The sequence below is a fragment of the Homo sapiens genome, chromosome 1 (assembly GCF_000001405.40).
Source record: "Homo sapiens chromosome 1, GRCh38.p14 Primary Assembly".
Classification (NCBI taxonomy): Eukaryota; Metazoa; Chordata; class Mammalia; order Primates; family Hominidae; genus Homo; species Homo sapiens.
Genome location: NC_000001.11, coordinates 116,028,940 through 116,046,359, shown reverse-complemented (window position 1 = coordinate 116,046,359; position 17,420 = coordinate 116,028,940). Strand labels below are relative to the sequence as shown.

The 17,420-nt window shown below is 37.5% G+C and overlaps 1 protein-coding gene across 25 annotated transcripts in view; it reads right to left on the bottom strand.

Moving 5' to 3' along the window:
* SLC22A15 (solute carrier family 22 member 15) overlaps positions 1-17,420 on the bottom strand; it is a 93,542-nt gene that overhangs the window by 23,695 nt on the left and 52,427 nt on the right. For 10 of the 25 annotated variants that reach the window (XM_047424416.1, NM_018420.3, XM_047424412.1 and 7 more), the window contains 3 exons: positions 14,779-14,994; positions 11,033-11,173; positions 8,972-9,057 (listed from right to left, as the gene is read on the bottom strand). In XM_047424416.1, coding sequence (XP_047280372.1) covers positions 8,972-9,057; positions 11,033-11,173; positions 14,779-14,994 — 443 coding nt within the window. Of the gene's footprint in view, positions 1-2,632; positions 7,420-8,012; positions 8,298-8,971; positions 9,058-11,032; positions 11,174-12,505; positions 14,649-14,778; positions 14,995-17,420 lie in introns of those variants that run through there. The other 15 variants (XM_024448239.2, XM_024448238.2, XM_047424421.1 and 12 more) reach the window with 15 other exon arrangements.

The following is a 17,420-nucleotide window of genomic DNA, read 5'->3' as shown; positions in this document are numbered from 1 at the left end:
TTTATCAGATACATGTTTTACAGATATTTTCTCCCAGTTTGTGTCTTACTTTTCATTTCTGTAATAGAGTCTTTTAAAAAGCAAAAGTTTTTAACTTTATGAAGTCTAGGTCATGAATTTTTTTTCTTTTTGTGCTTTTGGTGTCCTAGTTAAGAAATATTTGCCTAACTCAAAGTCACTAAGATTTTTCTCCTATGTTCTCTTCTAGTAGTTGTACAACACAGTTTTAGCATTTACATTTCAGTTAAACAACCATTTCAAGTTTATTACTGCATATAATGTGATTTACAGGTTGAAGTTATATTTTTTGTATATGGAGATCCAGTTATTTCAGCACCGTTTTTTAAAAAGGTTATGTTTTCCTCATTGAATTAACATGTCATTTTCATCAAAAATTAATTGACCATGAGCATTTTTCTGTATGTATATTATGACTGAGTAAAATATTTTTAAAAGGTGAATGAAACCTCAGCTCTGTCAAAAAAAAAATCAATTGACCATATATGTGGTTCTATTTCATACTCAATTCTGTTCCATTATCTATAGAGACATTCCTATGCCAATACTGTACTGTCTTGATTAATGTAACTTCATTATAAGTCTTTTTTTTTTTTTTTTTTTGAGATGGAGTCTCACTCTGTAGCCCAGGCTGGAGTGCAGTAGCACGATCTTGGCTCACTGCAACCTCTACCCCCCGGGTTCAAGCAATTCTCCTGCCTCAGCCTCCGGAGTAGCTGGGATTACAGAGGTGCACCACCACGCCCAGCTAATTTTTGTATTTTTAGTAGAGACGGGGTTTCACCATGTTGGCCAAGCTGGTCTCAAACTCCTGACCTCAGGAGACCCACCCACCTCAGCCTCCCAAAGTGCTGGGATTACATGCATGAGCCACCATGCCCAGCCTATTGTAAGTCTTATAATCAGGTAAGTTAAGTTCTTCAACTTTGTTTTTCCTTGATAAAATTATTTTGGATAGTCCAGATCCTTTGAATTTCCATAAAAATTTTAGTATTGGCCAGGCGTGGTGGCTCACACCTGTAATCCCAGCACTTTGGGAGGCCGAGGTGGGCAGATCACCTGAGATCAGGAGTTCGAGACCAGCCTGACCAACATGGTGAAACTCCGTCTCTACTAAAACAATACAAAAAATTAGCTGGGCATGATGGTGGGCGCCTGTAATCCCAGCTACTTGGGAGGCTGAGGCAGGAGAATCCCTTGAATCCTGGAGGCAGAGGTTGCAGTGAGCCGAGATCACGCCACTGCACTCCAGCCTGGGCATGACAGAGCAAGATTCCATCTCAAAAGAAAAAAAGTTTTAGTATTAACTTGTCAATTTCTATCACCAAAAGAAGACTGATGGAAATTTTACTGATATCACACTGAATGAAGATAAATCAGTTTGGGGAGTGCTGATATCTTAATATCTTCTGGTCCATAAGCATGGTAATCTATTTATTTATTATTATTGCTATTACCAATTCACTTAGTTCATCTTCTTTAATTTTTCTCATCAGCATTTTAAAGTTTTTTGTAGTCATATACATATTTCATAAAATTTATCCCTAAATTTTTCATATTTTTTATTTTATTATAAATGGCATTGGTTTATTTCAGTTTTAACTGTTTGTTGCTAATATGTAGAAAGAAAATTGTTTATACATGACTCTGCTAAGCTCATCTATTAATTCTTACAGATTTCTTTTTTGTATATTCCTTAGGACTTTCTATGAAGGTGATCATAATGTAGTCTGGTGAATAAAGACAGTTTTACTTCTGTTCCAATTTAAATCCCTTTAATTTCTTTTTATTGCTTTATTATATTCACTAGTACTTTTTGTACAATGTTCCATAGAAATGGTAAGAATGGACATCCTGGCCTTTCTCCTGACCTTAGAATATAAGTATTCAGTCTTTCACCAGTAAATGTGATGTTTACTGTAGGTTTTCCCTTAATACTCTTTATCAAGTTAAGAAAATTCCTGACCGCCTGCCTCGGCCTCCCAAAGTGCTAGGATTACAGGCGTAAGCCAAAGCACCTGGCCACTAATTGGCTTTTAAATGTTAAACCAACCTTGCATTTGTGGGATAAAACTTGCTTAGTCATTATGTATTGCCTTTTTTATGCAGTGCTGGACTCAATTTGCTAATATTTTGTTTAAGATTTTTACATCCATATTAATAAGAGAGATTGATCTGTAGTTTTCTCTTCTTATAATGCCTTTATTTTGTTTGGTTTAGGTACCAAAGTAATTGCAGGCCCTTAGAGGCTAAGCCGGGAGAGTTATTCTCTCCTCTTTATTTTCTGGAAAAGTGTGTACAATTGATGCTATTTCTTTTGCGTTTCATAGAATTTACCAGTAAAGCCATCTGGGCCTAGAATTCTTTTTGTGGGAATGTTTTTAACTACAAATTCAATTTTTTTAGTAGATATGGTGCTATTCAGGTTATCTATATGTTTTTAAGTAAGCTTTGGTAGTTTATAATCTTTCAAGAAATTTGCCCATTTTACCTAAGTTGAATTTATTGACATAAAAATGTTCATAATATTCCCTTATTAAATGCCTATAGGTTCTATAGTGATGTCCCCTCTTTCATTCCACATATTGGTAATGTGTGTCTTCTTCCTTTTCTCTTTATTATCTTGGTTAGAGGTTTAATAATTGTATTGGTCTTAAGGATTTTTCTCCATTGTTTGTTTTCATTCCATTGATTTTTTTGCTTTTATATTTATTATTTTCTTCCTGTGCTTGCATTGTGCTTAATTAGCTCTTCTTTTTTAAAATTTGTTATCTACTTTCTTAAGTTGGAAGCTTAGATCATTAATTTGAAAACTTTCTTTTTTTCTGATACTTAAAAGAATTATATAAATTTCCCTCTAAGCATTACTTTATTTGCCTCCCATAAACTATGATACAGTATACTTTATATTTTTTTGAGACACAGTCTCACTCTTTCACCCAGGCTAGAGTGCAGTGGTGCAATCTCGGCTCACTGCAACCTCCACCTCCCGGGTTCAAGGGATTCTCCTGCCTCAGCCTCCCAAATAGCTGGGATTACAGGTGCACACCACCATGACTGGCTAATATTTTTGTATTTTTATTAGAGACAGGGTTTCACCATGTTGGCCAGGCTGATCTTGAACTCCTGACCTCAAGTGATCCACCCACCTTGGCCTCCCAAAGTGCTGGGATTACAGGCATGAACCACTGTGCCGGGCTGATACAGTATATTTTACTGTTCAATTGAAAATATTTTCCAGTTTTCCTTGTGATTTTTTTCTTCAATCCACATGTTTTTAGAAGGATGTTGTTCCATATCCATATATTTGAGGATCTTCCATATATCTTTCTGTTGGTGATTTTTAGTTTAATTCTAGTCTGGTCAACTAACTTGTTTTTGTAAATTTTCAATTCTTCTAAACTTATTGAAACTTGTTTTATGGCCTAGAATATGGTCTCTCTTGGCAAATGTTCTGTGTGCACTTCAAATGGAATACATATTCTATTGGTTTAGGGTAAAGTGACCTATAAATCAGGTCCTATTGGTTGTTCAAGTCTATATTTTCTGTTTACCTTTTTATCAATCATTGAGAAAGTGATAGTGAAGTATTGTGTTTCTTGGATTTGTCTATTTCGCCTTTCAATTCTGTATGTTTTTGCTTTGTGTACTATAAATTTATTACAAGTATACACAAACACAGTTAGGACTGCTCTATCCTCTTGATGAACTGACCACTTTCTTATTATGTGTTTATAGTTTTTATCAAATTTGCAAAGCATTTGAGCATTTCTGCAAATACTTTTTCTTTATCCCCTCCTTCTAAGACTAATATTACACTTATGTAGGTCACTTAATATTGTCCCACAATTCACTGATGTTTTGTTAGTTTTTTATTCAATTTTTTTGTTTCATGTTGTATAGTTTTTTTATGTCTTTAACTGATCTTTTCTTCTGTTTAGTGTTTAACCTGTTGCTAATCTCATCTACTGTATTTTTTTCATATATTATATGTTTCATCTCTAGATGAAAGTGTCTTTTTCTTTCTTTTGGCCTCTCTGCTTGTATTCTGCTTGTATTCTTAAGCACATGGAGTACATTTATAATAGCTGTTTTAATATTCTTGTCTCTTAATTCTATCATCTGTGCATTTTTGGTTTTGTTTCTATTGATTTTTCTTCTACTTGTGGGAGGTATTTTCCTGCTTATTTGCATGCCTGGTGATTTTGAGTGGAGGCTACACACTCAATGTTTTTTTTTTTTGTTAATGTTATTTTTTGGGGTGCTGGACTTTATTGTTCCTTTAAGTCTTGTTGGTCTTTGTTCCGTGATGCAGTTAAGTTACTTGGAATCAACTGATCTTTCTGAGTTTTGTTTTTAAGCACTTTTATGGCAAAACAAACAAACAAACAAACAAACAAACCAGGGTTTTCCTAAAATGACTTTGACCTAGGATGTCTCTATCCAATGCTCTGCAACTGGCTGAAGAGAACACAAACCATTCATGGATTCAACAATCCAAGGATTGTTCTGCCTGCCACTTTCTGGTGGTCTCCCCCTGGCCTCAGTAGTTTCTTCAAATGCATGCTCAAATCAAAGACTAGGAGGTTTCTTCTGCAGACCTCTGGAGTTCTCCCTCTGTGTATCTTACTACTCTCCAGTATTTTGCTCAACAAATTCCAGACATCTTGGCTTCCCCAAGCTTCAATTTCTGTTTCTTCAATTTAGTAAGAATGCTATGATTTGTTGGGCTTCCCTTCCCTGCACTGTGGTTTGGCAACCATGTGCTAGGGCATTTTCAGAGCCTACTTTGTTTATTTTCTCCTCTCAGGGATCATTGCCTGTCCTATGCAGTCTGTTGTCCAATGTCTGAAAATCAATATTTCTTATATGTATATATTTTGTCTGGTTCTATTGTTGTTTAAAGCAAGTCAGCTGGTCTTCATCACTATCATGGCCTGAGCTTAAAGTTCCCATAGCATTTTGTTGTCAATTCTCATATAGTACTGATTTTTATTATTATTTTTGAATCCCTAATTACTCTCATTAGATTGTAAATTCTTTGAGACCAGGAACTAGATTTTGTTTATGAATAGTATCTTTTGTATCATAGACACTAGAGAAGTCAAATAAAGAAATGTGCAGACCAACATTAGGAAAAGAAATGAGATATGAAGGTTCCACTAGGGCTGAGTCTAAGGACACTCCTTCACTAAGAACCGTGTTTATCATGCCATGATCTCCTACTGTTCAGATTCTCTGGCAGGACCACAACTGCCATAATCCTCATCAATGAGAGCCCAATGCCACTCTGATAACCCAGGTTCTTCAACACTGGCCAAGTCCTATCAGGCCTGCACACTAAAGAGTTAAGAACTGGGTTTAATCAGGCAGCATTAATCCTCTGACTTCAGCTTCATTATTTACAACGAATACTTTGGTTCTAAAACTCTTATCTGGCCAGGCATGATGGTCATGCCTATAATCCCAGCACTTTGGGAGGCCAAGGCAGGAGAATCACTTGAGACCAGGAGCTCCCGACCACCCTACAAAAATAATTTTCTTTTTAATTTAAAAATTAGCCTGGCATGGCTGGCACATGCCTGTAGTCCCAGCTACTCAGGAGACTGAGGTGGTAAGACTGCTTGAGCCCAAGAGGTCAAGGCTGCAGTGAGCTATGACCACACCATTGCAGTCCAGCCTGGGAAACAGAGTGAGACCCTGTCTCAAAACAAACCATACAAAAAAATCTCTCTAAGAGTTTGAGAAAACAGCATACCCAAAAGAGGACTGACTTTAGAGTTGGAAAGAATCTGAATCCCGGATGTGCTACTTACTTGCTATGCAACCTTGGACGTGTTGCTTGACCAATCTGAGATTTTGCTTCCTTATAAAATGGGGATAATATATAATACCTTCTGCATATAAAGAGAATCCAGCACTTGATTAACACTTAATAAATGGTAGCAAGTGTTCTAAGGTTAATTAGAATCCTCCAGGCAAGCACAGAGTTCAGGTAAAATGTCTGATTACTAATCTGGGAAAAACATTAGTGGCCACCTGCTAATATTACTCCCAGAGGAGAACATTTACTTCAATGCCAACCAGCATGCAAATATATACTGGGCAGGACACTTCTGTCTAACAATTATAAACCAAAGGCTGAGGAATGCCAAACAATCTATTTTCTGGCTTACTGGCTATCTCTTCTAGAGATACATTGTCACAGTCTCCACGAATGCTTCTGACACAGAGAACCACAATCAAATACAGGTGCTAAAAAATAATGGTGGGTAGAGGGTCACCTGAGTTGGCAGAAAGGCAAGACTGAAGGCATGTTTGGTAAGGAAAAGTGAGGGCAAAGGAACACAAAATGCAAACAGAAAATGAGTAATCTCCAAACTAACACAAGATGCTACAGAATTTTTCAAACAGCTAGGTCATTTTCTTTATATGTACTTATTAGAACTTTTATAAATGTAGCCTAAAGCTTTGAAAAACTTGAGATAAAAAAAAGTCAACAAAATATTTTAAAGAGTAAATACAAAAGGTTTAAAGAAAGTTTAAAGAACAATTACTATTTATCTGAAAGAAGAGAAAATTCAGGCATAGCTGGAAGACTTTGCAAGCATAGAAAGGATTATACAAAAAAGGTGACCATATATTCTCTCTCTAGTGATGAATTAAATGAAAGACAATGGCTCAGTGGTAGTGGAAGAGGATAATTTTAATAGTAATGGTTATTAATTATAGAAATTATTTATTAAAATTAAATAGTAGAAATATTAAAAATAGAAATAATTTCCCTGGAAATCTTTTTTTTTAAATTGAGACAGAATTTTGCTCTTGTCACCCAGACTGGAATACAATGGCACCATCTAGGCTCACTGCAACCTCCAGCTCCTGGGTTCAAGCAATTCTCCTGCCTCAGCCTCCCTAGTAGCTAGGATTACAGGCACCCGCCACCATGCCCAACTAATTTTTGTATTTTTAGTAGAGATGGGGTTTCACCATGTTGGCCAGGCTGGTCTCGAACTCCTGACCTTAGGTGATCCACCCACCTCAGCCTCCAAAGTGCTGGGATTACAGGTGTGAGCCACCATGCCCAGCTAAGAAATCGTTAAAAATAGACAATACATCCACGTTTTCTAAGTATAACAGAGGCAACATGCTCCTGAGGCACATTTGTGGAGTGCCAAAGATACTCTGCTACGCTGTTTCTTATTCAGTGTCCATAAAGGGGCACAATCAACAAAGGTCCAAGCTGCTCTCTTAAAACAGATTGTAATTAAATAGAGTGGTACTTGCTGGTCTGGAGGGGAGACCATACATCTGCCTTCACCATGGATTTTTGTCTTGTTATTTATAAGGAGAGATCATTTCAAGAAAGGGCCACATGTAGAGTCCTAGGGGATAGGTTACCTGGAGTGTGCAAATAAGTGGGAGGGAAGGAAAGATATTAATTGGCCTGGCTTATGAAGGTGTGATAGGTTACACGTGTGTATATAGGACTAGTGACAAGTTTTTCTCTATGAGGCAATAAACAGAAAGCTGGACTATTATTGCAGCTTAAAAAAAAAATGAAACTGAATTCTCAAGGTACCTGTGCAAAACAAAATCTGCTGAATATAAAACTACAACGATTTGAAGTCCATCACAGTCTTACCAGAAGACAAACAAAACTGAGCACCTAGTTCTACAAGTCTATGTCAGGGCAATAGCTGGGGAGTTCCTCCTCTACTTAGCATTAGCAGGAGCACCCATTTGCTCAGAGAATAAAAAATGGGCAAATTTATTCAATTCTCTAGTTTCCATGATTCTATGAAAATCATTTTAAAGCTGTTCTAAGTATTGGGTAAACTCTAAGTAGTGAGCAAATTACACTCGAGGCTCAAGGTATAGAACTCAGGGGGCAATCAACAGCAGAGTAGATATACTGGAGGGTTATAAAACAGGGAGAACACATGGCCTTGGGGTCTTTAATGAGACACGCAGAAATGAACCACAAGAAGCAATTTACAAAAGGAGTATTTAATACCTGATATACTCTGACAAAAAATGAATTCTTCATGCATTTCCAGTAGTTATCAAAACTTTACGTCAAATCGTCTCACAATGATTGCCTACTGGAGTGCAAGCTCCATAACAGAACCCTATCAAAATCCAAAAGCCCCTAAGACAGGGCTCTTGTTATATCACATGCTCCAGCATGAGAGAGTTGTTGTGACTCACTCCTCCTTCTAGAAAATCACGGCCAAAAACACAGTTCCCAAGGCAATCACTGTCATACCTCAGGTGTGCTAGTGAAAAAAGAGATTGAAAACCAGCAATAGCTACAGAATGTCTACACAGGGGCAGTAATCAGGTTATATTAGAATGCTAAAGGGATCCTTCTTGAAGCTGTGTTTGCATAGAAAAGCTACACATATATAAAAATATCAGTTTCCTAACTAGGTGTTTTCACATTTATATAAGACTAAGAGACTATCCATTGTCACCAACAGTGAATACCATCCCCATTATTCTTGTTGTCGGAGTTCCTTGAGAGTCATGGTGGAGATTTGAGGGGTACCAAAGCCACCTTTGAGAACCAGTGGCTCTGCTCTGCAATCTTGTGGTTGGCTGTAATGACGAGTGCAATTTGCAACCTTGGATGAAGTTTCTTTCTGTGAAGAACTAATCAGTCCTCCTCATCATCAAATAAACAACTCTAACATCACCAATACTACATCTCAGTCACCCCAGATGGTAGCTTAATAGCCTGAAAGAATTAATAGTGCACCTCTACACACATTATTCACCCAGAGAATAGCTGAAGCAAAGGAAAGAATCTGGCCCATTATATCCCACACAATTGCTAAACAATATGCAATCACAGAAATGAAGCATGCCATATGGTCATCTCTCCACTATATTATGATTCATTGTAATGAAAGTACTGTTCAAAACCCTTGTAGAAATTTGAAAGGCATACCTTTCTTTTCTGGAAGAAACATTACAATAAGACAAGCCAGTCCTCCTAGGCACAGAAATGCTGATAATGTTCGCTTCCGACCAAACCTAAACAATAGAAAGAAATTACACAGTTCTCTTAAGAACCTTATAAATTCATCTGTTTCTTCCCAACCTTCTTATTTAAAAATCTTCAGTTTCATTATATATGTTCATCTCCTCTTAAGGCTAAGTGGCAAATGTGACTGATAGGAAACTGACTAGGACTCAAAATAAATAACCACTATAAAACAAAGGGAAAGTTGCTGGATGGCAGGATTAAGTGATTTGTGTGAGAAAAGGGCATAGTATCATTCTATCTATTTCCATAAATCCTAAGTTTCAGACACTGTTTTAAATGTTTACCATCTATTATCTTATTTAATCCTAATAAAATTCCTGTAGGCATGTACTATTATATTCTCCATCTTTTAGAGAATGAAACTGAAACAAGGAGAATATTCTAACAGCTCCCTTTATTTTCTGGTTACCTTTTCTGGTTTTATGCAGTTTAAAGTTTTGGCATTTTTCTTAAGTCTCTCTCTCTTAAAAATACACACAGAAAAAAATTTGTCAGTGGGTTAGAAATAAGTGAAATGCTATTTCATACTTTGTTGAAAGAAGCAATTTTCAAATAAAAGCCTTAGACTTGGAAGAAAGATATTAACATTAGAAAGTCTCCCTTTTCTAGGGGCTTACAACATGCTAGGTACTTTTACTAGGAACCTCAATAATTTTGATAATTTTGCCAGTGAATTTTACAATCCCTGGTTTGGGGATAAGTACGAAGGGAGGCTTAGTGAAGAAACTTGTCAAAGTCATAAAACGAACACATGGCAAAGACTAGATCTGAATTCAGGTCTGCCTGGTCACAAAGGTAGCATTCCTTCCCTCTGCTTCAGATTTCAATCCTAACTCTGGGGGGCGCTAAGAAGGTCTTGAGTGTTCTTTTCCAGGTCATTTTGCTTAATTTAACAGTCAATATGGAAGGCCTTTCAAGTAACACACACCATGCTAGGCAAGCACCAGGGATACAAAGACACATAAGATACCCCCATGGACGGCTTCCTTATAACACTTTTAAGTGGCCCCAGAGGTATGCACAGGGTGCTAGAGCAGCACAGAGGAAAGGCATCTGGCACAACTGGGGGTGCTGGGAAAGATTTCTGAATACAATACCTGATCCAGCTCTTGGATCATGATGAGAGTAAGCTGTAGCCTCTATCACAGGGATCAGCAGAGGCAACTGGGAACACTCCCTGGGAGACAAGCCTTCAATTTAACAGAATCCAAACCTGCCCTTCAAAACACTCTAGACTAAAACCTCATGACAAGGGCATTAAGCACAACACCAAAGAAATTCTGAGTTTGGCTGGAATGATGATTTTTGGAGAAAAAGAAATGGCATAATCCAACTGATTCCCAGCTCATACAGAATGGGATTTTTAAGTGGCCTGGTCAGGCACTAAGTAACAGAAGCAATCTCAAAAACTGAGGAAAGGGTGCTCTATAAAATAACGTTTAAAATCTATCTCAAAACTGTGCCCACTGACAATGAGTAGCAAAAGAAGGTTTTATCTTCTGCCTCCTCAACAAAGTAAGATGGGCCACAGAAGATAAGAAAAGTCTTTCTAGTTCCTTCAATTATTTGTCTTCTTGTAAGAACTTCTAAATATTTATTGCTAATTGGGTTTATAGAGTTTCATCTACACAGAACTAATAATCTCATCTCTGGAGACTAACAAATTACATACAGACTACTCATAAACCCTCTGATGGTAATATTCAATACTATCTTGGATTTCGATATTCAATATTGAATTGAAATCTATATAAAAACTCGTAAACATGAAACTCAAGAAATCCTGCACTAAGAAATGAATTCTAACTGTTTTTAGATGGAAAGAAACTCTAATCACCACAGAGCAATCAGCTGATACTGCATACAAAGACAACACCATATAGATATGCATGTGTATCAGAGGGCATATGTGTATGTGTGCATTCTCTACGGTGCACTTCATATTCATCCACACTTACTCACCATTTTTGGTTAATCAAGTAGATACAGAGAGGGTAAGATGGAATCTCTATGAGGCCAGACAGGGCCAGGTTGGCATAAATACTTCCACCTAGATCACCCGCACTCAGAGTTAGGCCATAATACACCAAGCTGCACACAAACCTGCAATTGGGAGTCAAAGGACCAGGAGGTAAAAGACAAGAAGGACAACAGAAAAGTACATAAGAATTTGCCAGAGGAGATTCAAATATTGGTTCAATATAATTGCTTGATCTGCTGTAAGCAATAAGCTTGTCTCTCCTACTAATTTTTCTATTTTAATCTAAATTTCAACACTAGGAAAAAACAAAAAAATTATGGGGGTTTGGAAATAATTTGAGCTATGTCTATATGTTATATAAATCAAATGGATGGCCAGCCCCTTAAAGAGGAAAGACATTGCATGTGCTTTCAGCAAGCATTTCTGCAATTAATAGAACACAATGACCCTATTCTTTATTTAAGGCAACAATTTATGGAACACTTGTTATAGATAGTTGTAATATTATTGAAATGATTCTAGAAAAGAACTCCCATGGAGAAAGCCAACAGAAGATGGCCTTAAGAACATGAGCTGAGAAGTGACTGGATCTTCAGTGGGTCACCTGCAGGCCCAAAATGACTGGCACTCCAATCCCCAATGATCCAGACACTTCCCATTGCAGGTTTTAACCCCATCCTGCATTCAGCAGGTGCACATGATACAGACTCCCAGAACAGGAAAGAAAAATTAAAGGTCACAGCAAAGGCAGGATCTTCTAGGAGGAACAACCGAGGAAGGGTCACTTAAAAAGCCATTAATTTATTTATGTACACCGTTCCTGAAACAAACAGGGAGCTCCTCTTGGGTGGCAGGCATAGTGCTAGGCACCAAGCCTCTCTCCTACAATCCAAGAACTAAAGAGCTGAGGAAGCCAAGTGCCAACCTAAAGATCCAAATCAGGGCTTCCTCAAACACAGTAATGGTGGTAGTAGGAACTTCTATGCCTAGGAAACTGCATTATTAAAATAAAACAAAACAAAATAGAATAGAATGAACAAAAATAAAACCCTGAAACTGGGCTTTACAAAAATATGAATATGTTTGGTAAACCACAAATTTCTATACAAGCAGTAAAACACCGAAGCTTTGTTAAGTTCATCAGGTTTTATGCTTTTGCAACACAGTTTGATCAGTGTTTATTAAGGGGACATTCTCATTTGCTTCCCTTTAGTTTTCCTTAGAGAAACTCTAATGAGCTGTGGCTATAATGAGATCAGTCAGGAAAGGGAAAGTTTTATTTCCATCTCTGCTTAATCTCAGAAGTGGGCCAAGTACCCCAGGCTGTAGTAATGTAAGAAGAGAGAGATGTAAAGAGAAGGGACCCTCAAGCTGGAGTGGTTAGTAGTCCAGCCCTCCCTAGCAAATGAGCCAGAAGTATTATGCATGATTTCTTACTGAGATGAAGTGTTATTCATATACCAAGGACAACGGGCAGGATTGTAGCCAGGACATCACATGTAAGGATGCAAGGTGACACTGCATTGTCTGTTCTCACTGTCTCCCAGGTATCTTGCATGAAAGCAGAAGGCAAAATAAATTTAAATCCATGCAGTTTTCTAAAACGTTTTTAAAATCCCTTACACCTGCAGAAACAGCATTTACATAATGCTGTTTCCCAGTTGGTTTTCTGTGTCTGTTCTGCATTTACAATAGAAATTCCAGCCACACACACACACATACACACACACACACACACACACACACACACAGAGACACCCCTATTTAAATCAAGCTGTGACAGTATCAAGTCAGGGCAAGAATAGACAAGCCAGTTCAGGACAATAGTGGAATTTAGTTCCCAGCTGGTGGTGAGAGAGAACGGGGAGAGCATGAAGCATGGAAGGCCCATTGTCCCCAGGGCTGGGCCTCTGCTCTGCAAGTTGCCTTCGTCATAGAGTTGGTCATTGGGATCCATAATTACAGCTATTAAAATCATTTCAATCCTCTTTATGTCCCCCAAACAAAATCTAAAATGCTTGCATAATATTTAACAGTATATTTAGAGCATCAAATAATTATTTAAAAAGGCACTATTGTGGAAAATAACTAAAGGAACAGATGTTTAACACAGAGGTATAATTTGAATCCCCAGTTAAGGCTTTCTTGAATGACAGATCCACAGAGAAGATTTTAGAATTTTATAGCATCTTCAAAAAGAACGGCAATATGTGGAGTGACTGTCTCTATTATCACATGTTTTAACATTCTCAGCCTCAGGGAAGAAGTTTATTTGGCTGTGTAAGAAATAAAATGAACAGGGACAGTTTCCCTGGCCCTAAGTCTAGGGTTTGTTTGTTTGTTTATCCATTGAAGGCCAGAACCCAGAAGTTAATATACATGGGGGAAAAAATAAAAATAGTGAATAATCTGCAACAAGTAGGTGGTTCCTCCAAGGCAGAGGTTGACTGACTGTCTATGTGATACACAAATGTAAAGTTTTATGGAGCCCTAAGTACCTGAACATACTTTGTAAGTATTTGCTTTTGAATGGGTAGAACCTCAAATTAGCAGCTCCTATGTTGTGTTGTCAGGTTTGGCTTTCAACGGTTTTCTTAATCTCCATGCCTCCAAGCCTCAACATTTATTATGCATCTGTGATATTCCTAGTGCTGTGATGGTTCTGTGGGGGAAAGCAGCAGTTGGTTAACATGGCCCCCAACCATACAGGTGGCAGCCACTGCTTGGGTAGAAAAAGAGTATATGATATAGAAAAATATCTTTGCAGCTTCTTATTCTAAAGCTACTATTCTTTGTAGCTTTATACATAAGATCACTTTCATATAAAATCACTTTCCTTTATCCCTGCATGAAATGTAGGGCTCCATGCAGGCTTCATGGCAAATACATATAAGCCACAGCACAACTGTCCTTTAGGCTAGTAGGTATGATTTTGCCCAGATAACACTTATGGCACATTAGCAGTATGTACAATATCAAAACACATGTGCAATCCACAAATTGTATGCACCCATCCATTTCTCCTCTTTCTACAACTTCATTCTTTAAATGAAACCATCTTGAACCGCTGAATGCAACTTACACTCACGCTGAGAGCATTTTGAAAGGTAGGTGGGAATAAGCTAAACAACCAGAAAAATCAGGTTCAGAAAGTGCTCATCAGTTCAATCACTGATTTACATATGTGGCTTAGGGTTCATCACTTCAAACTCCTGGGGTCCCATCTGTACAAGGGATCATATTTAGCCCACCTCAGTGAGTTAGTGAGTGGGAGTGCCACAGAAAATGCAGCATGGAGCACCGCAATCAGAATGTGCTAGCAAACTGCTTGATGCCAGTGCCAAAGGTAAGTATTTTTAAAGTCCTATTTAAAAACTCATCTATTTCTACCATGCTTATTTGCTTTCTTTCCTTTTTTGCAGGGGAAGGGGCAGGAAGGCTTAAATATTTATGATAAATACCTCAAAAGCAAAGATGTGCTTCTGATGTCTACTTACTCAAGCTCAGTGGACCTGCCCATCAGGCACTATCATCTGCTACTTGAGAAAGACGGGGCTGCGCAAGCAGAAAACCAGGCGCTAAGGATCAGGAGACTTGCTGTTGAGAAAACAACCTCAAGCTAACAAAAGAGGTAAAATTCCCTGTACCCTGAAGAAGGAGCAGGATATCAAGAGAAGCTCGAGCAACCTTAGTTAAAGAGCAACAGAACACGCCTTAGTATAATTACCAGATGAACATCAGGATCAAAGTGTGTCCTAACAGGACCCGGTAACGAAAGAGATCCAGGAAACTTCCAGTCTCCCTGCAGCTCCTGTTGGCTGGGTGTGTTAGTGAGAACGTGCACTTGAGTTTGCGGTTCCTCTTGGCAATGAGGTACAGCGCCTCTTCAGCCTCACTCAGTCGACCCTGGGAGTATAACCAACGAGGTGATTCAGGAATGAATCTGAAAGAGATGTCATTAAAGCCTGTATATTCATATAGGTACACGTGCACAGGAAGGAGACAAATCACCTACTCAGTACGTGGATTCCTGCACCACAAATGGGATTCCATGTTAGACTTAAAGTTTGACTCTCCCAATAACATATGAAAGGGCTACTTTCAACAGCATGCTAACATTAAATGGTAGTCTACTTTATCACTGAAAACCAAGAACATGCTTTACAATTGCAGTTTAAAAAGCAAACAGTATGCATTTATTTTTAAATAAATTTTAATATGTGAATTTTAATATGTTAAATATTAACATATTATTCAGTCTATAGGACTGAATAATGAAAATTCTTCATAAAGCACAGGTCAAAGATATGGCTCTAAATCCTAGCCAAGTGTTGTTTGAAAATACTGTAGAGACAATGGGTTTTTTTAAGTTCTAAAAAAGCCTGACAAGATAGAAATCTTTATTATCTCATCAGGAAAAAAAAATTTAAACTGAAATATTTTTAACATAGTGACATGTAGGAGGTAGAGATTATCTTAAGACTACACATAAAGATGAAACCAAGTTTACCAAAGCTACTTTTGAGTGTTTACTGCTTCAAAATACTCAAATCACCTGACACACTGGCTTTAATATGTCCTGAGGATATTTCCTGATCCCCCAAGACCTTAAAGAATAGAAGTTATTTCCTGACCAACTTCTAGTTACAAAACAACAGTTATTTTCTAATGTAACTACAAAGTGTTGGATAATTATATTGCCATTGATATATTCAAAGAGTTTCAAAACTTAAATATTATGTATCTTTTTGCCTCTTCCCCATTTTACCTACACTTTCAGAGGACTTTCCAAAGACAAAACCAAGGCAGGAATATGGAAGCCTTGTTTACAAGACACAAATCAAGGTTGTTTTTTTTTTAAATCTAATTTGACATTATCTGCCTAAAATGAAACTTAGATGAATAAAACTGGCTATTTACGGTGCTTTATAGAATTCACTGTGCCTTCTAATAAGGATAGTGAATTAGGAACAAACACTACAGGATTTGGAAACTTAATGGACAGCCAGTCTGTCAACAGCCATTTATTGAGCATTTCAATTTTGTACAGAGTAATGTAATGGTGCTGAAAGGAAAGATGCTGGAAACCAAAAGGCAGGAGTTTTCCCAGGAGCTTTGCTACTGAGGAAAGGAATATTCACGCACAATATTTGACTGTCAGCAAAAGCAGGAACAAAGGCCATCTATAACATCCTGAAAAATCCTTCCATTTACTTCTTCATTGCCATTTGATTATTATTACGGACAAACAAATAAATAATCAAGTAAAACATTGTTCTGTTGAAGTTAGGTCTGCAGGTTATGAGTAGGATTTATTGGCCCTATCCATAGGGGCATATAGGAGCTATTACGTAAAACCACTTGATTATGTCTAAATGAAAGAGGACTACTGTGATAAATATTGAGAGAAAATATATGATAATAAAAATTATTTTGGGGAGGATTGGGAGGAATAAAAAAGAAACAACAGAAAATACGCCAAAATATTCACAGTCATTATCTTTGGGTTATATGTCATTTTCTCCTACCCTTAGCCTCTCTGTGTTTTCAAAATTGTTTATAAGCAATAAAAATTACTTTTAAAACTTTATAAATCATTTTAAAGCTGGTATTTGAGAGACACGAAGGCTTTAGAAATTCGGCTCTGAGTTAATAAAACTATTTCTACCTGGCAAAGGGTTTATCTTGATCATGAAAACTTACGGTCTTATATTTCTTTGCATTTTGAGAGGCCAATAAGCTTGCTTCTAAAGAGGGTCACCTAGTTGCCAGTGGACAGATTTGGAAACAGAGTTCCAACACACGCAGATTATACGTACAAAACAGTAAGACACGTTTTTAAAAGAAAGAGCAGGCCTTTGAACATGCCGTCCTCTACATAGCAGCAGGGTCATCTGTGCCGTGGGCTCCTTTGAAAGCTAAAATGCTAATTTAACAATGTTGCCCAACTCAAAACCGCTCCATGAATATCATTAAAGGTGGCAAATCTTTGTAAATTAAGGGGACCCTGGTTTTCAGAAAAAAAGTAAATCTACTGAAATTGAAGTATTGTGAAAATAAGGAATTTTTAAGCTAGGTAAAAATGTTTCTGGTAAACAAATAAGGTATATAATGTGGCTTCTTATGTTGCTGATTACAAATTCTAAAGGTGATTCCAAATGTTTTTGTGCCAACATTTGTGCAATGTCCAAGGATCTACTGTGTGGAAACCCCTGGCTTTGGTACTGGGGAAAATGTTATCATGGAGCAAAGAGCCTGCTACTGTTGGAGAGCTCTCAGTTTAGAAAGAGAGAACATGGCTCCATTATGAGGCAGAAACATAAGGGCCACTCAAAGGGTATGGGTGAATGCCGTGGAATTCAAAAAAGA